Raw genomic sequence first — 23,458 nt, 5'->3', positions numbered from 1 at the left:
TTCCTACTACTAATATTACTGTCTTTCTATCTAACTTCCCTTAAGTTCTGTTAATACTTTCTTTATATCTTTAGCTGCTCCAATGTTAGGTGCATGTATATCTAAAATTATTGGAGCTTATTGATAAATTGACTCCTTTATATAATGACCTTTTTGTGTCTTATGAAAAATGTTGACTTAAATTCTATTTTGTCTGAAACAGTCATAGCCACTCTGGATCTCTTTTGCTTACTATTTGAATGGGATATCTTTCTCTATTTCTTCACTTTCTGCCTGTGTGTGTCATTAAAACTAAAGTCTTACAGGGAACATATAGTTGATTTTTTTTTCACCATTCACCCACTCTATTTCTTTTGTTTGAAGAATTTAATCCATTTACATGTAAAGTTATTATTGATAGGTAAGGATTTAATATTTATATTGTATTAATTGGTTTCTGGTTGTTTTGTTGCTTCTCCTCTCTTATTGTCTTCCTTTAAGATGAGGTCATTTTCTCTGGTGATATGCTTTGATTACTTACTTTTTATCTTTTGTGTATCTATTACAGGTTTTTTCTTTGTGGTTTCCATGAGGCATATGTAAAACATCTTTTAATCGTACATAACCTTAACAGACTGTTGTAAGCTGATAGCAACCTAATGCTGGTCACATTAAAAAAAAATCTCCACTGGGTATGGTGACTAATGGTTGTAATCTCAGCACCTTGGGAGGCTGAAGCAGGAAGATTGCTAAAGGCCAGGGTTTGAGACCAGCCTGGGCAACATAGTGAGACCCTATTTTTACAAAAAAGAAAGTTAGCCAGTCATGGTGATACACTCCTTCTTTGGTCCTAGCTACTTAGGAGACAGGGTCACCTTAGCCCAGAAGTTGAATGCTGCAGTGAGTTATAATTGTGCCACTGCACTCCAACCTGAGCAACAGAATGCAGCCCTGTCTCAAAGTAAACAAAAACAAACTCAACATTTTTACCCTTCCCTACCCTCACATTTTATATTTTTGATTTCACAACTCATGTATTTTTCTTTTTTTTTATTATACTTTAAGTTTTAGGGTACATGTGCACATTGTGCAGGTTAGTTACATATGTATACATGTGCCATGCTGGTGCGCTGCACCCACTAACTCGTCATCTAGCATTAGGTATATCTCCCAATGCTATCCCTCCCCCCTCCCCCACACAATTCATGTATTTTTCTATGGTGTCTTCTTTATCAAGTTATGTAGCTATTATTCTTTTCAGTAGTTTTATCTTTTAACCTTTATGCTAAGGATATAACTAACTTATACACCACTATTACAGTATTAGAATATTCTGAATTTGACTATGTACTTTTACCAGTGAGTTTTGTACTTTAGTATAAAAGTTTTTAGTTTTCTAGTTAGCATTCTTTTTTGTTTTTTTGAGGCCAAGTCTCACTCTGTTGTCAGGCTGGAGTGCAGTGGCATGATCTTGACTCACTGCAACCTCCATCTTCCAGGTTCCAATGATTCTCCTGCCTCGACCTCCTGAGTAGCTGGGACTACAGGTACGCACCACCACACCAGCAAATTTTTTTTGTATTTTTAGTAGAGACGGGGTTTCACCATGTTGACCAGGATGGTCGCAGTCTCCTGACATCGTGATGTCCCAAAGTGCTGGGATTACAGGCATTAGCCACTGCACCTGGCACCTAGTTAGCATTTTTTTCATTCGTTTTGTTGAAAAAAAACTTCTTTACTATTTGTAAGGTAGGTCTGTTGGTAATGAACTCCTTCAGCTCTTGGTGGTCTGGGAAAGCATTTATCTGTCCTTCATTTCAGAAGGACAGATTTGCTGTGTAACATATTCTTGGTTGATGCTTTTTTTTTTTTTTTTAACCTTTAGCATTTTAGATATATCATCCCATTATCTCTGGCCTTTTAAAATGTCTGCTGAGAAAACCACTGTTAGTCTTATTGGAACTCCTTTACATGTCATTTGCATCTTTTGTATTTCTGCTTTCAGAATCCTGTCTTTGTCTTTGACTTTATTGTTGTTATTGTTATTATTATTATTATTGAAACAGTGTCTTGCTCTGTTGCCCATGCTGGAGTGCAGTGACAAAATCTTGGCTCACTGCAACTTCTGCCTCTTAGGTTCAAGCAATTTTCATACGTCAGCCTCCTGGGTAGTTGTGATTACAAGTTTGCGCCACTATGCCCAGCTAATTTTTTTTTGTTGTTGTTGTATTTTTAGTAGAGACATGGTCTTGCCATATTGGCCAGTTTGGTCTCGAACTCCTGGCCTCAAATGATCTGCCTGCCTCAGCCTCCCAAAGTGCTGGGATTACAGGCATGAGCCACCATACCCAGCCTGTCTTTGGCTTTAGACAGTTTGATTATAAATTGTCTTGCTATGGTCTTGTTTGAATTGAATATAATTGGAGACTTTTGACCTTTCTGTATCTGAATACTTATGTGTTTCCCCACATTTGCAAAGTTTTCTTCTAGTGTTTACTTAAATAAATTTTCTGGCTTTTTTTCTTTGTCTTCTCCTCCTTATACTCTTATAATTTAAAATTTTGCTCTTTTGATTCTGTCTCAGAAATCTCATAAGCAGTTATTATTCATTTTTATTCATTTTGCTGGCTTGGAACTGAGGTTCAATGGGTAGGTTGCATACCGGGACAATGGGCTAGACTTGGAACCCGGTTCCATAGGGATAGGCCTGGAGCATGGATCTGTGGGGTAAAGCCTAAAGCCTGGCACTGGGGTCTACTGTTTTAGGCCTCAACCCTTGGTCCACTGGAGTAGGCTTGAACCCTGGAAATCTCTGAGCCTGGAGCCATGGAGACTGGCCTGATACTAGAGTGGGCCTGCCATATTATTTCATAAGAACAGTTCTGACCATGAGTCCACATTCTGGCCTGGTGCTGAGGTCCACAGTCATGGGCTTTGTGTCTGGGACCATGAGTTAAGCCTGTGTCCTGGCAGTATGGTTTTGCTCTGTGCCCTGACCCACATCTCATCTTCAATTATAATTCCCATAATTCCCATGTGTCAAATGAGGGACCTGGTGGGAGGTGACTGGATCGTGGGAGTGGTTTTCCCCATGGACTTCTTGTGATAGTGAGTTCTCACAAGATCTGATGTTTTATAAGTGGCAGTTTACCCTGCTCTCTCTCTCACCTGCTGCCATGTAAGACGTGCCTTGCTTTCCCTTTGTCTAGCATCATGATGGTAAGTTTCCTGAGGCCAACCCCAGCCATGTGTAACTGTGAGTCAATTAAACCTCCTTTTATTTTTTTAAATAAATTACCCAGTCTCAGACAGTTCTTTTTAGAAGTGTGGAAATGAATTAATACACCTGGGGTCCATGGTGGTGGGTATGGAGCCTGAGTTTTTGGGAACTGGCTAGGTGCTGTGGTCTACTGGGGCAGAGCTGGTCCCTGGGTTCACTGAAGCTTGGGGCTGTGGTGGTAGTACTGGAGCTTGGAGATGTAGGGGTTGGCATGAACAGGCAGTTCTTTAAATTATATAATAGTGCATTCTCACACTGCTAATAAAGACATACCTGAGGCTGGGTATTTATAAAGAAAAAGAGGTTTCTTGGACTCACAGTTCCATGTGGCTGGGGATGCCTCACCATCATGGCAGAAGGTGATAGTCATGTCTCACAGCACAGCAGGCAACAGAGAGAATGAGAACCAAGCAAAAGTGTTTCCCCTTATAAAGACCTCAGATCTCATGAAACCTCTTCACTTCCATGACAACAGTATGGGAGAAACTGCCCCCATGATTCAATTATCTTTCACCGGGTCCTTCCCGTAATACGTAGAAATTATGAGAGCTACAATTCAAGATGAGATTTGGGTGGGGACACAGCCAAACCATATTAGTGTATTACTTTGATCCTAAATTGTTTAAAGAAAACTCTAGCTTAAGTCTCAGAAGGCTTTTGCTTCACGTTTTTCACTATACTGAGAACATTGGATATACTACAGAACATTCCCTCAAGAGCATCCCTCCTAGTAGGAGTTTGGGTATTACATATACACCATGGTCAGTTAACTACTAGTAAACAGATATTCCCTGGTGAGAGCGCTTAAAGAGAGAATGGCTTTTTTTTTTAATTTTCCACAATAACATAGAAAATCTGGAAGCATATGAACATCAATGATCAAGGGAACTAGGATAGGTGACTTTGGGAGAGGGAAAAGCTGACCACATCTTAGTGATAACAGCAGTAACAATAACCATACGAATGACATTGGCAGTACTCTTTTCTGAAACTCTATTATATCTGGCAATGCATTCAGCATTTTAATACTACATCTTATAATCCTCACTGGAAACATATGATCTAAGTATTATTATTTGCAGTGTAAAAACAAGAAAGCTGGGCATTAAGTAAATTTAATACTTTTCTGAAATTACAGTCATAGCCAAATTGAATAAATGTCAGATCTTAGATTTGAATTCAGCTGAGTCTGATCCCAAAGTCTTTTGTATTGGTTTTAGGTCATGGACTCTAGCATTGTAAAGGCTAGAGAATAGGTAAATCTTATCATTTAATATTAGGCATAAAGTTGAGTTGAGCAAACCAAAATCAATATACCATTTGGATATGGTTTGTATGCATAAATACCTAGAAGTAATTCCATATCTTTGATACTGTGAATAGTGCAGTGATCAACATGAGTGCATATGTCCTGTTGTTGGTAGAATGATTTATATTCTTAAAGACACATGCACTTGTATGTTCATCACTGTACTATTAACAATAGCAAAGACATGGAATCAACCCAGGTGCTCCTCAATGGTAGATAGGATAAAGAAAATGTGGTATATACACCATGGGATACCATGCAGCCATAAATAGAATAAAATCATGTCCTTTGCAGTAACATGAATGAAGTGGGAGCCCACAATCCTATGCAAATTAATGCAGGAACATAAAACCAAAAGTGGGAGCTAAACATTGAGCACACATGGACATAAATATGGAAACAATAGACACTGCGTAATGCTGGAGGGTAGAAGGAAGGGAAGTGGGTTAAAAACTTCTTATCAGATATACATTCACTAGCTGGGTGACAGGATCTAAATCTCAGCATCACACAATATCCCCAGGTAACAAATCTGCACATATGCCCCTCTATCTAAAATAAAAGTTGAAATTAAAAAAAAAAATAGAGAATCAGATATGTATGTGTACATAACATATGTAATTTGGTTTTGATAGCCACTGCCAAATTGCCCATTAAAAAATATGTATCATTCGCCGGGCGTGGTGGATCACGCCTGTAATCCCAGCACTTTGGGAGGCTGAGGCGGGTGGATCACAAGTTCAGGAGATCGAGACCATACTGGCTAACACGGTGAAACCCCATCTCTACTAAAATTATAGAAACAAAATTAGCCGGTCGTGGTGGTGGGCGCTTGTAGTCCCAGCTACTGGGGAGGCTGAGGCAGGAGAATGGCATGAACCCGGGAGGCGGAGCTTGCAATGAGCGTCTGCACTCCAGCCTGGGTGACAGAGCGAGACTCCGCCTGAAAAAAAAAAAAAAGTATCATTCTTAAAAGTATTGACATATGAGCTGATAAAGACATATTTAATTTATTTAATTCTAGTTAAAAATAAAACAAAACTTGGAATAGAAACTTTCAGAGTATCTATTATATTTGAATTTCACATAAAAAATAAGACCGCAAAAGGTAACAGAAATGTGCTATGGAATGTCAGCAACAAAGCTATGATATAAAAAAAAAATTCATGAGACATTTTCAGTACTTTAAAGATACATTTATGCTAATTAGAGTCCAAGCTAAAATTTGATTTTCACAATTAAATATTACTAAGTAATCACAGTAAGTCAGCGTCTTTGGACAATTTGTATTTTACATTATAATATAAAAATATGATTTATTAAAATTGTAGAATATTGCAGTGTTTAAGAACAAAAGGTCTGGATTCTACTTGCCTATGTTCAAATAAAGGCTTTGGCAGCAGAAGCAAATGAATAGTTTGTCTAAACCTCAGCTTTACAGTTTAGTGAGTGGTGACTAACAACTGCATTTAGCTCATAAGATTGTTTCAAGTATTTAATAGCATAAGCACTTGCTCCCACAATTGGTACATGTTAAATGCTTGATACAATTTGTGTTTTTATAATTATACTTTAGCTTGTTTATATAATGAAGCTTACCTGCTTTGCATGCCCCACAAGTAATGTATTTATCTGTATTTGCAATGTAGTCTTCTACCTTCTGAGATCTCACATTTTTATGTTCTTAACTACAAAATGTATCTCTATGACTTTCTTTTCTACCCTCAATGGCCTTTCTGTCTTTTCAGTACACAAACACCTACTCATTCTTTTTTAAAAAATCAATATATGCTATACCAACTCTCTTTGCTACTTTAATTGGCACTTAAAGAAATTTTCATATAATTCAATACATCTTAAACTCTTTTCTGTTTTATTTTTTCAATTCATTAATTGAGGCTAGAAGACATGTTGCAAGTATAAAAGAATGGAAACATTTTAAATAATGAGAAATTGAATTCTTTGAACTTAAAAAAAAAGTACCAAAGTTTGAATAAACAAATAGGAAATAATGAGCAAAAACATCTGTAGCATGCTTAATTTGTGCCAGGTAATATAAGCACTTTACACCATTGTTCCTTAATTGATGCTCTCTGATGCAGGTTATTTTGTTATTGACATTTAATAGATGAGGAAACGGAGGCATAGAATCAGTCTCAGGTGCAACTTCTTGGTAATGCCTAACCTACATCATCTAAATCTGGCTCAGTTTTAGTTTCTTCTCCTATGTGGGTACAATATTGTACTTAAATCAATTATGGTAGCTATTTAGAAAATCAAACCTTGTCAGGATGGAAAAATTACTCAGTAAAGAATTCCTTTCTTCTTGATTGGTTAAGGCCAAAGAAAGAAAATATCCAAGCTCTTTTCCATGGTCTTTTGCAATAGGTAAATTAATTTAGATAACCAAAATGGTAGATAGCTTGAAGAGCTAGAGGATGGGATAGAATATATTATTTTCCAGCTTTACCTAGTCTAAAGTTTGTTCTGACATAAGACCTGCTATATCTAAATTTAAAAGGTTGTTTATAGATGACTTACTAAAAGTCTATGAGTAATCTGAAATAAATGTTTATTATTATTATTTTTTTTTAGATGGAGTCTCACTCTATCACCCAGGCTGGAGGACAGTGGCACGACCTCAGCTCCCTGCAACCTCCACCTCCCAGGTTGAATCAATTCTCTTGCCTCTGCCTCCCCAGTAGCTGGTATTACAGGCACCCACCACCATGCCTGGCTAATTTTTGTATTTTTAGTAGAGATGTGATTTCACCATGTTGGCCAGTCTGGTCTCAAACTCCTGACCTCAGGTGATCCACTGGCCTCAGCCTTCCAAAATGCTGGGATTACAGGCTTGAGCCACCGCACCCGGCCTGAAGTACACTTCTAAATCTGAAGTATTTTTGTATTTCTGTATTCCACATCTGTATGTAGAAAGAGTGAAAGAAAGCTAGCACCAACGAGCACTAGCCAAGATGATGCCTGTCACCAAAATTCTTAAAAGACGAATTTATAGCCATAGCCAAATATTCTATAGTGTACAGCAAATTGATTTATCCTAGATGAAATCCCATAGAAGAATATTGTGCCATGATTTTTATTAAATCCTGTTTGTGGTATTGTCCTATATTCTTACAGAAGTGTGTGTCATATAGGAAGTATGATTCTCTTATGAAATTTAATAAAGTATGCTATCCATAAAGCACATAAATACTAAAATAGAGTCAAACAAAAAAACACCTTTAATGTGGTGATACTGGTAGAAATTATTGTACAGAATGAGTTTCTTTTAATATTAAATTAACATAATTAAATTTATTAATTATTATTGGCTTGAAAAGCAGTGAATATGATGGAATGATCTTTCAGTGTCTTAGTATATGAAAACAGAGCCAGCAACAAGTATTGTAGGCAAAAATGAAATTGTCAGCAACTACTTTAATAGTTTTTCAGAACTCAAATAATGAAATGCACTTGTGGAGCTGTATCCATTTGTGGCAGTATACTGCCATGTGGAACACAGGTCTTGTTATTTAAACCAGTCACTTTACATTGATAATTCAATGTTTAAAATGCTGTTTATTTAGTTTCTTCACATCATGTAGTGAACAGAGTCACAAGAAATTATATTCTTTTGCAGAAATATTCTAAGGATTTTTTTGTATCTTTGATGCCTAATTCACTGTCATTTTTACAAAAGTAAAAATACCTGGCTGGAAAATCAAGAAAAAATTCAATGAACTTTATGTAGCATTTATCTTGAAGTGTTTCTTAGTTTCTAGGGTTTTGTGTCAATATTGGGGATGTGCACTTGCTTACTGATGTATGTAATTCTATTATGCATGAGTTTTGATGGTTTTAAAATTGCCAAAACTAAGTTAAATTGGTAAAATTATAAAGTCATTATAGTTGTTACCATTAACACTGTAACTTTCTCCAGTATTCCTTATTTCTTCAATCTGTACTACTACTTTCTGCTTTTGACCTCCGAGAAAATCAAACCATTTGCAATAGCAGTCTCTCTTGTTGGGAAAATCAAAGCTATACAACAAATACATAATTTCTTTTCATCTGATTGCTACTACTCTTTGTCCTTCTGCATCACTGGCCTATGTGATGGCAAAAGAGAGTTTTTTAGTCTCTGTCTTTATCTCTTATCTCTCTAACACTGAAATTCCACCTCTAGGTAGAAAATATGGTTCTGATTCGGTTGTAGTGCATTTTCAAATACAAATGATATATTACTAGTTTTTCCTCTAACAATTCTGTTATTTAAAAATTTTTGTGCAATAATTTTCCTTCCAATTCCCACCTTGTTTCTTTGCTTCTTAATTGTTTTGTTATAATGCAATATCACATGACAGATAATAGAAAATGATGAATGTTAGAGCTTTTTGCAACATAATATTTTACTAATACAAATATTGATTGTGTATTAAATTATTCAAAATTAACTAGAGAAAATATCTGTTTACAATAGACAGTCATGCACTGCAAAATGAGATTTTGATCAATGGCAGATCGTATATACGATGATGGTATCATAAGATTATAATGCCATATTTTTACTGTACCTTTTCTGTGTTTAGATATGTTTAAATACACAAATACTTACCACTGTGTGAAAATTGCGTACAGTTTTTTGTACAGTAACATGTTGTATAGGCTTGTAGCCTAGGAGCAATCAGCTATATCATATAGCCTAGGTGTGTAGTAGGCTGTGCTCTCTAGGTTTATGTAAGTATACTCTATTATGTACTCACAATGACAATATCGCCTAATGAAACATTTATTGGAATGTTTCTCTGTTAAGTCATGTGTGACTGTAAACCTCATGAGAAAAAGGTAACTTTATTATTTTTTTGACAGTATCTAGATAAGTTTTCAAAATTGACAAGTCTTCACCGCAGGGATAGATACTTTTAATATACTTCCTCTTATATTTGTATCTAAGAGGATACAAATGAGACACCACTGTACCTTATTCCATCCTTTCTTTCTACGTTTATTTTTTAGAAGCATAAATTCTGATATTTTTTCATTGGCTTGCTAGTTTTTCTTCATAAACTATCATCTCTTATGGTATTCGTTATGATATCTTGATCTTATAAATTATGTACCCTTGTAGCAAACCAGTGGATTTGAAAGTAATCAAAAAGCATTTTTGGGGTAGTTTTCTAGCAGTTACAAATATCATGCTCCCATAAGCAAAACGTGAAAGCCGTATTGTTTCTCCTGTGCCTTAATTCACTTTTCTTTATATTTTCTTGATTCCAATGAAATGTAATACAAAATGTGACTTTATTAGAGCACCTCATCTATGGAATATGTTTTTGCGAAAGTATAGTTATGTTAACTTGTCTTGTATTGCATCTTGTAAAGCAGAACAAGTTTGTGATAAGTCTTCAGGGGAAAAAACAAAACTTTAAAAGCAATTTTTGCAGATATTAAAATATTACATATTAAAATTCCAGATTAGATTATTTTATCTATTTTCATAATATTATAAGACATTCTAGATATTTATTTTAAAAGCCCCTAAACTGTTGACTTCTTATTACACAAAAACAGATACTACTTAGACAAGTCTTTTTAGTTTTCTATTTATTTATTTAAATGAAAGAGATTTTATAGGAGTGGGTGAGAGAATGGGAGATTAGACAAAAGTGTTCAAAAAGAAAAGTCCATTCCTTCACATTATCTACTATTTAAGTCAGAAAGTTTATAATACCAATCACAATTTGCAGTGTTGACTGGCATTACTCACTGCTAATGGCAAAGTCTTTTCTTGACCAAATTTCAGTTTGGCTCTTTGAAGCCCTCTTTTCAACCAAGCCTTTACCTTCACCCATCATGTCTTTGACCTCCTCAGCCCAGTTTTAGCAGAGAGTCCTGCTATATCAACCCGCTAGTCTTGGTGTCTGATCACCCTTCGTGTCTGATCAAGTTCCTTATCCCCTACCTTTGATGTATAAGTTTTGGCTTGCTTTTAGAAGGAAAGCTAATCAAAAAGTGGGCGAAGGATATGAACAGACACTTCTCAAAAGAAGACATTTATGCAGCCAAAAAACACATGAAAAAATGCTCATCACCACTGGCCATCAGAGAAATGCAAATCAAAACCACAATCAGATGCAATCTCACACCAGTTAGAATGGCAAACATTAAAAAGTCAGGAAACAACAGGTGCTGGAGAGGATGTGGAGAAATAGGAACACTTTTACACTGTTGGTGGGACTGTAAACTAGTTCAACCATTGTGGAAGTCAGTGTGGCGATTCCTCAGGGATCTAGAACTAGAAATACCATTTGACCCAGCCATCCCGTTACTGGGTATATACCTAAAGGACTATAAATCATGCTGCTATAAAGACACATGCACACGTATGTTTATTGCGGCATTATTCACAATAGCAAAGACTTGGAACCAACCCATATGTCCAACAATGAAAGAGTGGATTAAGAAAAAGTGGCACATATACACCATGGAATACTATGCAGCCATAAAAAATGAAGAGTTCATGTCCTTTGTAGGGACATGGATGAAATTGGAAATCGTCATTCTCAGTAAACTATCGCAAGAACAAAAAACCAAGCACTGCGCATTCTCACTGGTAGGTGGGAATTGAACAATGAGATCACATGGACACAGGAAGGGGAACATCACATTCTGGGGACTGTTGTGGGGTGGGGGGAGGGGGGAGAGATAGCATTGGGAGATATACCTAATGCTAGATGACGAGTTAGTGGGTGCAGCACACCAGCATGGCACATGTATACATATGTAACTAACCTGCACAATGTGCACATGTATCCTAAAACTTAAAGTATAATAATAATAAAAAAAAAGAAGGAAAACTATTAGGTGAGTTTGGTAAGAATCCCCTTACCTTTCATATTGCCTCTTAGTGATTCTTCATCCACTGCCTCCCCTCACCCTGCTCCTTGGCTATAAATCTCCACTTGTCATTGTTATATTCATAGTTGAGCCCTATCGCTCTCCCTTATTGCAACTCGCATTGCAATAATACTGAATAAAGTCTTTACGGTTTTTAACAAGTGTCAGAATTATCTTTCTTTAACACTAAGTTTATACTAATTGTGTTAGTGAGGGTTTTCTTGCTGGAATGAACAAATTCCATACATGTACTATAATCCTAAAGGTTTATTTCCAGTTCAAGCAAATCTATTGCAGATTTCCTTGATCAGGTGCATTTTTGGCAACCTTGTTCCAGGCAGTAACCTCAAAGTCTGTGCTCTTTCCCTCTCCTGGCTCTTCATATCTTAGCCCTTCATGTCCAGCTGTGTGAGTAAGGAGAGCATATGGGAGACTGTGAAGGACATTATTGGGTGTAGCAGGAATGTGGCATGAATCATTTTTACCAGCACCTCACTGGTCAGAAATCAGCTTCAAGGTATCATCTAGACACACAGGAACTGAGAAATGTAATAATTTTGCTTATCCAAATGGGAAATAATTCTTTTTTTCAAAACATATTGTGGAAGGACTGGTTGGTATTTGTTTGGACCTGGGCATGCTTTGCTAAGTAATCCTCCCTTAGCCATATCATATACAATTAGATCGATTGGAGAGTTTATTTAAAATAGTTTTTTTTTTTCCTAAGAACACGTAGGCAATGTGCTGAGTTGATTTCCCGTTTCTCACACAGGTTACTGATGGATCCGTCCTAAATGCCATCCATCTCAAGACAGAGGCCCACAGAAGTCAATGTATCTTCAAGATGGGAGTACCTGGAGATGGCTGTAGAGACCATGTAGCAGGAAATGGTGACAGAGAAGAGCTGGGCCTCTGGTACCAACATGCTTCCCCCCCGTTACAGCTATGCGGGCTGATAGTGACGCAATGTGTGGTTTCAATACTTCATAGTGTCTTACTTCACCTCAGTATAAAGTACTTTGAAAGCATCAAGGAAATGGTCCTCAAAAAAGGCTTATCCAGTCAGGACATCTGGTGCTGGCTCTGGAATGAGTGGATGAAGATAAGGCCTTCCAGTATGGAGGTGATAAAAATCAGGGAAGACAGGTAATCACAATGGATGACAGACCAGGATTCCCAGATATCTTGGCATGGCTGGAACAATGTACAGATCAAACCATGTAAAACTTAATGGGTATAAACCAACTCTTCACTTTGGTCTAAAAAAGTCCATTTGCATGGCTTCTAGTTAAAGGTGGACAGGCTCACTTTAGAATCCTATTATATACAAAGGATTTAGGGGGTTTAGTTCACAATGTGCTAAAGCCATCTCACAGTGACCATGGTATGAGCTGTGTGATTTGGTTTAAATATAATAGAGAATGAAGGACAAGGTTGAGGGTGGTGGTTACAGTCCTGCCTGATTCTGTAGTGCTCAGGTGACCTTTGAAGAATGAAGAAAGAAGTCAAAACCCCACACTATTAAGACATTGGAAGACTGGGAATGTTTATTTTCTGAAGAATAAAAGATGTAGGAAACATGAGCTGTCTTGATATGTTTAAATGGTTGTCATAAGAAGGAAAAATTCACAGACTTGTTCTGGGTAGGAGCTAAAGAATGATGTGTTTTTGCCAATCTAAAGGTGGAATTTTTAAACTCTGAGCTTACCGGTATTGAAATAAGCTATTCCAGAGGTCAAAAGCTTCTCATCATTATATGGTCAAATAGAGTTTGGGTCACTATTAGAAACAAAGATTTGAAATGAAATTTCAAGTATTGGAAGAGGACTTTTTTAAACTCTTAGAGTCTATAATTCAATGATTGAGATGTAATTCACTGGAACCTTCATTTAAAAAATTTATTTTGCTGTTCCAATATTATATGACAGGACTAATTGAGTTCAATAAACATTTATTAAAATATTTCCTGTATAACATCTTATGCTACACACAGTCCCTAATCTTTAGAAGTTAAACCTGAGGAAACTGCACACACAGACATCACTGTATACTCGCATAAGTAGTATAATAAAGGATAGTAAGGAGGGTCAGGGAGAGGAAAACAAAAAAGGCTAATCTAGGAACAGTATTTGGCCAGGTTTATATGGTAAATGTGACCAAACAACAACAACAACAACAACAACAAAACAAAACAAGCTTGTATTAGAAATTGGAGATTTAATTTGGGGGATAGACTGGATTCAGTGACATCAGTCCCATATCCTTTAGCTTTTCTACTTCCAGATCTAAACTTTGACCTTTGGAGTACAGGATATCATAGCGAGGTCCAACAAAGTCCTTAATGACTAGGTTCAGGAGTTACTCAACGCATCACTGTATTCTAAGGCAGAGAAGTGCACACCACAATATTAGAAACAGTACTACTGGCTATCTGCTATTCTTAAAGAAACATCACATTCACTTTGTCATGTTTCCTAAGCAATGCGGTTAACCAGCAGGTGGTGAAGATTGCAACACCCTTCTCTTGGAGAAAACTTTATTTTCCTAGTATTACCTCAAGTTTCTTAAAAATGAATATTTCTTATCTGGTATGTCATTTTCCTGGTTGAGACCATTGTTGAACATTTAAGAAGTCTGGACTTGGTGGCCAAACAGTTATCTAGGCAAAGGCTCTGACTTGTTACATAGCCAGTCCACAGATAAACTCTTCAATTTCTCTAGTTTCTCATGACAGTAACTCCCACCTCATTCATAATTTAAAAATACTTATTGAGTGCCTTCTGGGTTCTAAAGCTGTAACAGTAAGCAAGATAGTCATAGCCACTAACTGTTTGCAAGGCAAGGGTGTTGAAATTGTAGTATACTAGTGATTATGTGTAAAGAGATCAGTAAAATATAACTAATATGCTGGAAACATTAAAAAACGGTGGGGTGGGAAATAAAGGATTATTTCACAAATGCTTGTCTAGCAATTGATTAACCTTTTGGAGAAAAATAAAATAAGAACCTCATTTTGCAATGTATTCCCGCTATGGTTAGAATATGTTCCCTTCAAAATTCAGGTGTGGTTGATGTGGTAGTATTAAGAAGTGGAGCCTTTAGGAGGTAATTATGACATGAGGGCCTCTTCCTCATAAATGGGATTAAAAACCTTATAAAATAAGCATGGAGTGTTTGGGAACCTGCCCTTCTGTTGTATGCCTGGTGAGGATGCAGGAAGAAGGCCCTCACTAGACCCAGCACTTCGATCTTGAACTTCATAGCCTCCAGAATGATAAGAAAATAAATTTCTGTCCTTTATAAATTACCCTGTCTCAGGTATTCTGTTATAGTGGCACAAATTGACTAAGAAAACTCCAAAATAATTCTTATATGAATTAAAAATTAAATCATAAAGAAGAAAGCACAGACACAATACTCTCAGAATGGAAAAAGACTACTAACTGTTAAATGGGAAAAAGAAATAAAGAAAAAAACCCAGAAATATTTAAACACATATATGTCAACATCATAAACGAAATTTAAAAGGTAAATTAGCCAAGAATGTTTGCAAAAACATTTGTAAAACAAAAAGATAGGGAGGATAATATAAAAATAAAAGTGAATTTATAATAAAGTGAACCAAAATGAAGATAAATCACAAAATATATAAACATCTCCAGTAAAAAGACATCCAATATCATTAATAATGCAAAATGGAAAACAATTATATCATCTCCTCTTATATTAGTAAAATGTTTCTGTTTTGGTTTTGTTTTTGCATTTATTTAATGATGCCTAGGTTTGTCCATAGGAGGGTGAAATTTGAATTTTCATATACTATTGGTAAAAGAAGACATTTTTATACATTTCTTAGTGGGCATTTGAGCTATTTGTCCAGAACTTTAAAAATTTCAAATACTTTAATAGTTCTACTTCCTAGAATTTATAGCATAAAAAAATTGAGAAGCTCATAAGAATGTATTTCCAGATGTTCACTACAGCAAAGTTTAATACCAAGAAGCTAGAAAAGATTCAATTATTCAATGATACAGAGTCTATTTTATTATGGTACACTAAGTAATTTCAAAATTATAGTAAAATCACATTCTAGAAAAATCATCTTTGCCCCATTTGTGAAATGGCATCTTCTTATTTTTGTAGTTTCCTCACTCATGGCTCAAACTTCATTGAAATCACTTGTAGTATATAGTCCAAATAAACATAATCCTTCATTCTTTATGAGTTTCTAAATAAGGATTAGTAACAAATGCTGGCAAGGATTTAGAGAAAAGATAAACCTCCTGTTGGTGGGAATGTAAATTAATTGCTGGTTTACGATGTTACTGTGTTATCACTATGCTGCAATGCACAAAAGAATCATTGTAAGCACTGGAGATACTGCTGTTAAAAAATATATATATATATTGCCTTCTTTATGCAGCTTGCCCTTTAGAGCAGAGGTGTCCAATCTCTTGGCTATCCTGGGCCACATTGGAAGAAGAATTCTCTTGGGCCACACATAAAATACACTAACACTTACAATAGCTAATGAGCTTATTTTAAAAAATAAAAATTGCAAAAACATCTAACATTTTAAAAAAGTTTATGAATTTGTGCTTGGCCACATTGATAGCCATCCTGGGGCACGGGTTGGACAAGCTTGCTTTAGAGGATGAAACATACCATACACAAATTATTTCAAGTGGTAACAGATTATAGAAAATAAATAATGAGAAATAGGACAGACAGACTGGGGAAGTATGCTGTTTTACAGAGTTTTCAGGAGTCTCTGATTAAATAACATTTGAGCAGAGACATGAAGCTAGTAAAAAAAATAAGTCATGAGGTCTCTGGGTGATGAAGTCAAAAGCAACAGCAAGTGCAAAGGTCCCTAAAGCAGGATGAGGAACAGTAAGGAGGCTAGTGAGATGAGTGGTGTGAGATATGGAATAGTGGTCAGAGATGATGACTGATTGATAGTGATGGTGGAGGGAGTGGGTGGAGGGATACATTTAAATCCATGGGACCCTGTATGCCATGCTAGAAGTTGTGCATGTTTTGAGCTATGTAGGAAACCACAAGAGCTATTTAAATAGATGAATGAATATTACAGCCTATGATAGAGAATTGTGACTAATGTGTACAAAAGAATCTGTAAAGAGGCACCAGTACTGGGTATATACCCAAAGGATTATAAATCATTCTGCTATAAAGGCACATGCACACATCTGTTTATTGCAGCACTAGTCACAATAGCAAAGAGTTGGAACCAATCCAAATGCCCATCAGTGATAGACTGGATAAAGATAATGTGGCGTATACACACCATGGAATTCAATGCAGCCATAAAAAAGGATGAGTTCATGTCCTTTGCAGGGACACTGATGAAGCTGGAAACCATCATTCTCAGCAAACTAACACAACAGAAAACCAAACATTGCATGTTCTCACTCATAAGTGGGAGTTGAACAATAAGAACATATGGACACAGGTAGGGGAACATCACACACCAGGGCCTGTTGGCAGGTGAGGAGCTAGGGGAGGGATAGCATCAGGAGAAATACCTAATGTAGATGATGGGTAGATGGGTGCAGCAAACCACCATGATATATGTGTACCTATGTAACAAACCTGCACATTCTGCACATGTATCCCAGAACTTAAAGTATAATAACAATAATAAAAATTGTTTATAACTACAAAAAAGAAGAGAAAGAGATGCACCAGTAGAACCAGGGAGATCAGATACATGGTAGCATAAGCAAGACAATGATTGCTTGCATAAGGCTGGAGGTGATGAGCAGTGGTTGAGTTTGGGATGTATTTTGAGTTTCAGTGACAGGATTTTGCTAACAGATTGAATTTTGAGTGTGAGCAAGAGAGAAAAGTCATAAACAACTCCAACAGTGGCTTGAGTAACCTTTATTGAAATGCACAAGATTTTAGAAGTAAGAGATTTGAGGGTGGTTCAAATTTAGTTAAGCTTGACTTCCCAATTTTATATGTATGTATATATATATAAATTAATTTACCAATTATATATCAAAAGGGACATTTTGAGTGGACATTTGGACTAAGTCTATAGATAGGAATGAGGTTGTTTTTACAGGCACATATTTGAGAGCTGGTCTATAGATTTATTATTCAAAGCCATGTGACTAAATATTACCTAGGGAATGAGTATAGCTAATACAAAAGTTCCAAGGTAATTCGGCATTTAAAGTTTAGGTAGATTATAAGGATTCAGAAAGGAACCTAAATATGGATGATCAGTGAGGCTGAGAAACACCAGTTGCATGTGATCTCATGAAGGCCAAGTGAAGATGAAGATTCATGAGTATAGGAGGGATCACTTCATCAGGCTGCTGATGGATTGACAGAGACAAACATTCAGGAGTGACCAGCAGATATGACAACACGACAGTAATTTATGATTTGTTGAGATTAAATCAGGAGAAGGGGCTGGAAGAAATCCAGATGAGAGAGAATGGGAACTGGAAAAGTACAGACAGCAAGGAGGGAAACCTATTTGGACAACATTTGCTTAAAAAAATGGAAGAAATTTTAGTGGCTAGAAGGGCACATGGGAAAAATAGGTTTTTAAAGGGATAATAGTATAGCATGTTTCTGTTCTGGTGGGAATGGTACAGGAGCAAGAGAGAAAAAAATTGATGAATCAGGAGAAAGAGGGAGATAATCAAGCTTGTCATGTTACTATCTACAATAGCAAGGTCACACTTTTGATTATTCCCGTAAAACTGGGATCTTTTGACATTTTTCACATTTTATATCGCTAACATTCAAAGCAGAGAAGCAGAGACCCAGAGCTCAAATGCTCTGTCTTATCGATCAAGAATTCCCTGTGAGATAAAGGAACAGAGCAGCATCAAGACCCTTAGCTATCTGCCTGTTCCCTTTAAATATAGCCACATCTGCCCTCCATTCTTACTTTCTTTTATCCTTTTACAGAGGAATATGTGTCTCTCCAATGCAAAGGCAATTCTTTTGTTTTGTGAATCTTTTCACAATCAGCCGACTTGAATTGTTTTCTATTCAGCTAAAAGATCATTGATAAGAACACACTGAAGACGTATTTTACAACTGAAGAATGAATTAATGCAAGCAAATTTCTCACAATGTACTGTGTATGCTCACAGGCTGTACGCATACTGTATCTCTCTCTCTCACATACACACATACACATACATACACAGACACACCACCTCTTTTTAATCACCTAGTTCTGAATTTGTCATAAATCTTAATTGCAAACTATAAACAAACTATTGAAGTTAACTTCTTTGGGCAAAAAAAAAAAAAAAAAAAAAAATTAAGTCAGAATCAAAATTTGTTTGGGATAACATACTCTGATAAAGACCAGGGATCAAAGAACAACCAAATTCTGCCACAGTATGGTTTTTGTTAGTGTGCTTCCACTGGCAGTACCTCCACAGATATTTGGTATTTGTTGCTATGTCACTGGATTCAATCACTCCCAAATTTTCATCCATCTCACTGCCTTGCTGCTATGAATAATCTTTAAGTGAATGGCAGATCATAGATCTGTGACTGTTCTCTAGTTGGCAGGAAATGGGAAGAGGATTTTTTTTCCCTTTTCTTTTTTTTTTTTTTTTTTGAGATGGGGTCTTGCTCTGTTGCCCAGGCTCCAGTGCAGTGGCACTATCTCGGCTCACTGCAAGCTCCACCTCCCAGGTTCACACCATTCTCCTGCCTCAGCGTCCCGAGTAGCTGGGACTACAGGCGCCCGCAGCCATACCGGGCTAATTTTTTTTTTTTTTTTTTGTATTTTTAGTACAGATGGGGTTTCACCACGTTAGCCAGGATGGTCTCGATCTCCTGACCCCGTGATCCACATGCCTCGGCCTCCTAAAGTGCTGGGATTACAAGCATGAGCCACCGCGCCCGGCCCCCATTTTCTTTCTATAAAAAGAACTTATGATAAAACTTTCGGTTAATATGTGCTTAAAAAGACCCTGACAATTGATTTAAAATATGTGTTGGCATAGAGATAAATCTTTGAATTACAGGAAATTCTAAGAACATATAAAGGATCCAGGGAAATTATATTAGTCTATCCTGAGGTTGTGTCTCCATCGGTGTTTTTGTTTCTTTAACAGAACCCATCATGAGGTGAATTGCTAAATTTACTTCCTGGCATATACACTCCAAACATAATTATCATCCAGTGTATATTTCTATGGGAGTGAAATAGAAAATAACAATGAGCAACATCTACAATTTTTCTAATTCTGTTACTGGACATGCCTGACATTTATATTTGTATATTCCTAGCTTATATTTGTGGTTTTATATTCCTCAATTACAACAGCGACCTATTAGTGTATTAGTGGAAGAACTGCCTCAAGTCAACACTAGACACAGTCAAAAACCGTGCGTCTCCAAAATCCTTTTGAAAATGTGAATTTTTGCCTTAAGACTTGATTTTTAAAAGCTTTTTTTGCCATTATCTAGTAGTTGAGAGATGGTAAATCTAATCCTCTGTGTCCTCATCTCTAAAGTTGTTATAATACTGCCTCACTTCTAGCATCAAAATTTATATTAAACATGAAAAGCATAAATACAAGCATTTTTTTTTGGAAAATGTATAAAGCTCTACTAATGAAATACGTTATTTGCAATTATATTTGGAAAGACAATTCTTCCAACAGGTTACTTTTAGAAAATAATATTAGATCATAGGAAAAAATGAAATGTTCATGTAATACAATTATTAAAGATGAAATCTGATTAAAGTAATATATTTAATAAAATAAATACTGTGTCTTTATTATCTGATTCTGCTTCTAGCCTTAAAATCTCCTATCACCATTATAGAATTGATGTTAATTAAAACTGGGCATAATTATTATCTGATGGTCACTGATTTTTATGACCTCTTCCTAGTAGGAAAAGTACACTTCCCTCGGTAGGGTCTAAAACAATGCCATTGAACACTGTGGGAGCTCCATGAATACTTTACGGTAATTCAAGAGGCCACATGTTGAAATCCACAGTCATTGATAACGTTTTGGCATGGATATCAAAGAGTGGCAGTATTGGCAGCTTTGGGTACTGAATTGATGCTGGGGATCGTTCGTTTTAATTAAGGGTTGGAGTATCTTGGCATGGAGTGCATACAGCAGCCTAATGAGCACTTGAGTAAAGAATTAGAAAATCTGGATTCTAGATCTAGTTTTGTTTTGTTATTAAATGTGCCTATCTCTCTTCATAAACTAAGAGAGAGATTATAAGAAATGCAATATAATTCTAAAATATAGTCCAATGATACATTTTTCAGGTTAGAATATTTTACAATGTATAAGCTATATAAAACCCATACTCTTACATAACTCATTAATCTTTATCTGTACAGTTTAAAAAATCTATAAACACCATGGAGTTGTTTTGAGCTTCAAATAAGATAATGAGTAAACTTTGTAAAAACTGTGAAGTACTATAGAAATGAAATGTATTATGCTTATGATTGTGTCTATATTAGTATAATTTTCAGCAGTGACTAAAGATGAGGAATAACATTTTTATGGCAGGCACTAAACTGATTTTTGTACTGACAGACTTCTATTTCAGTGATTATCTGTCTGAGGAGTATCTCTTGTGCAGTATACAAAGGTGATAGAGAGAAGTTGCAGACATTCATTCTCTACCATCATCTACCACTAGGCTAGTGACTAAGAAAGAGTTAATTGAGAAATGGCTGGGCTTTAGAAGCTCTACTGATAAGTCTGTGGTCCAAAATAATGGCATATTTATCACTAACCTATAAAAGTAGCATTTGCTAGAAATAACCACAATGGTGTTTTGGAAAAGAACATATAGCCTAAAAAAAGCTAATGTTTGAATCAATGTTATTTACTCTTGTCGGCAAATTATCTGATATTTGGCTTTTATACTAGAAATATAATTCAACTTATGCAGATGTCTGCTATTTTAATATAATGTACCACCTTCTCCCAGAAGCAAAGATGAAATTCTTTAACCAATCCTTAAAGCTGCAATATAAGCTTACTGGGGATTTGTCCTCACCCTTTTGGTATGCATGTTAGCTCCATAAACTCCTTTTTTAGATACTCCTCTTGGGGAGGGTTATTTCAAATGTGCTTCATGAGAAAAGACATTTTGGTGACATTCGAGGGGCATCATATACTGCCTTGATAGGTAGTACCTTTCTTTTCCTTTTTTAAAAAAATTAATTTGAAGTAGGATGTTTGTTCCGATAAGGAGCAACACATTTAGACTTATCTGCCGTCAATAACTTAGTTTAAAGGGTTTGTGGAAGATGGCTGGCAATGAGATTTTTCCACTGGGTATATTGGAAATCAAGATCCAGAACATAGCCTAGGGAGAGAAGAGCTTGGATGATAAAGAAATAACAAAAGGTCTTGAAACAGCACTGGGTTTGAGAGGAGTGGAGATAAACATACGTTACTGAGTAAGTGATGGACCAAAAAGAGGAAAGGAAATAGTTTGGATTAAAATAATTTAGAGAGGCTGGATGCGGTGGCTCACGCCTGTAATCCCAGCACTTTGGGAGGCCAAGGAGGGCAGATCACTAGGTCAGGAGTTCAAGACCAGCCTGGGAAACGTGGCGAAACCCCGTCTCTATTAAAATACAAAAAAAAAAAAAAAAAATAGCCTGGCGTGGTGGTGCACGCATGTAATCCCAGCTGCTCGGGAAGCTGAGGCAAGAGAATTGCTTGAACCCAGGAGGTGGAGTTTGCAGTGAGCCGAGATCGCTGCACTCCAGCCTGTGCGACAGAGCAAGACTCCATCCCCCACCCCCCCAAAAAAAAAAAAAAAAAAGAGTTTAGAGAAAGACAAATCTGGTAGGGCTGCTCCTATAAAAGGGCATCTGAGGAATAGCTCTAATTCAAACGTAAATTGCTTTTGTTATCACTGAAGCAAATCTGATTTATAAAATGATTAAGCTCCATGGTTTGGCTCTGATATGATGGGTCCCTGATATTTGGCATTTGCCAGGAAGGCATGATGCCATTCAGCTGGTACCAGGTTGGGCTAATCAAATAGATATGAAAGTATTGGTGAGAAATACTTATTGTTTTATTTCCTGGTTCTTACTTTTCCTTTCAACAATTTCAGCATTTTAGTCTCTATAAATGTCAATCCTTTATTCTTCTGATGCTGAAAGAAATGCTTTGTTATAATGTCATGAAATGAGCATTTCACACAGGAAAATCTGCAAATCAACTTTTCACATTAGTTACTGTTACAACGATTCACTCCAGGGGTGCCATTTCTAGGTCAAAACATCAGAACTATTCTTCAGTAGCAAAACAAAACAGAAACAAATGCTGAGTCTGGAAAATAGGAGTACATTTTGTGAATTCTGGAGAGGAGGGCTCCACAGAGAAGAGAATCTTAAAACGCTTTTTCTCTATAGGAGAGTCACTAGCTAAAGGTACTGCATATCCCAGACATGTACACGCTGATGGAATGTGGTGTGAAAATCAGCAGGTATGTCAGGGCCCTAAATGCTGCTTCTGTAGCCAAAATTGCTATATTCTCTCTTCATCCCTGATTTGAAGCAGTAGGTCTTCCCTGAGCATCATTGTTTTTTCCTTTCATCTTTCTCTTTTAAAATTTCGTTTTCTTCTCAGTAAAGTCTGTGGGGATGAAAACTAACACAAAGTAAGACACTGTGACAAAGAAGCTGTGTGTTAGTTTAATTGTGTGCCTCAAAGTCATATTCCAATATTACCATCAGTTCAGTCACAGTCCATTTTACATTTCAAATGAAATCTAAGAGGATAAACAATTTAAAATAAGTTTTATGTGCTGCTTGTGGTGAACATACAGATCATTGCATCCATCAAATCCCTGTTTACATCAATGGAGACTAGTACGATCTTAAACTAGCAAAAACTACTCATGCTTTGTTGCTATTAGTATTCTCAGCTGCTTCACGGTCCAAGGCCGGCAGCGGGAGATCACTTAGGCGTCCATCACCCATA

At 36.4% G+C, this 23,458-nt stretch overlaps 1 long non-coding RNA gene across 1 annotated transcript in view; it reads left to right on the top strand.

Moving 5' to 3' along the window:
• The window catches only part of LINC00971 (long intergenic non-protein coding RNA 971), a 231,171-nt gene extending 218,126 nt beyond the window's left edge, over positions 1–13,045 (top strand). The window contains exons 20-21 of the long non-coding RNA NR_033860.1: positions 7,164–7,237; positions 12,238–13,045. This is a non-coding gene — a long non-coding RNA (long intergenic non-protein coding RNA 971). The remainder of the gene's footprint in view (positions 1–7,163; positions 7,238–12,237) is intronic.
• The last annotated feature ends 10,413 nt before the right edge of the window (positions 13,046–23,458 follow it).

This window comes from Homo sapiens, chromosome 3, assembly GCF_000001405.40.
Source record: "Homo sapiens chromosome 3, GRCh38.p14 Primary Assembly".
NCBI lineage: Eukaryota > Metazoa > Chordata > Mammalia > Primates > Hominidae > Homo > Homo sapiens.
This window is presented reverse-complemented; position numbering and strand designations above follow the sequence as displayed.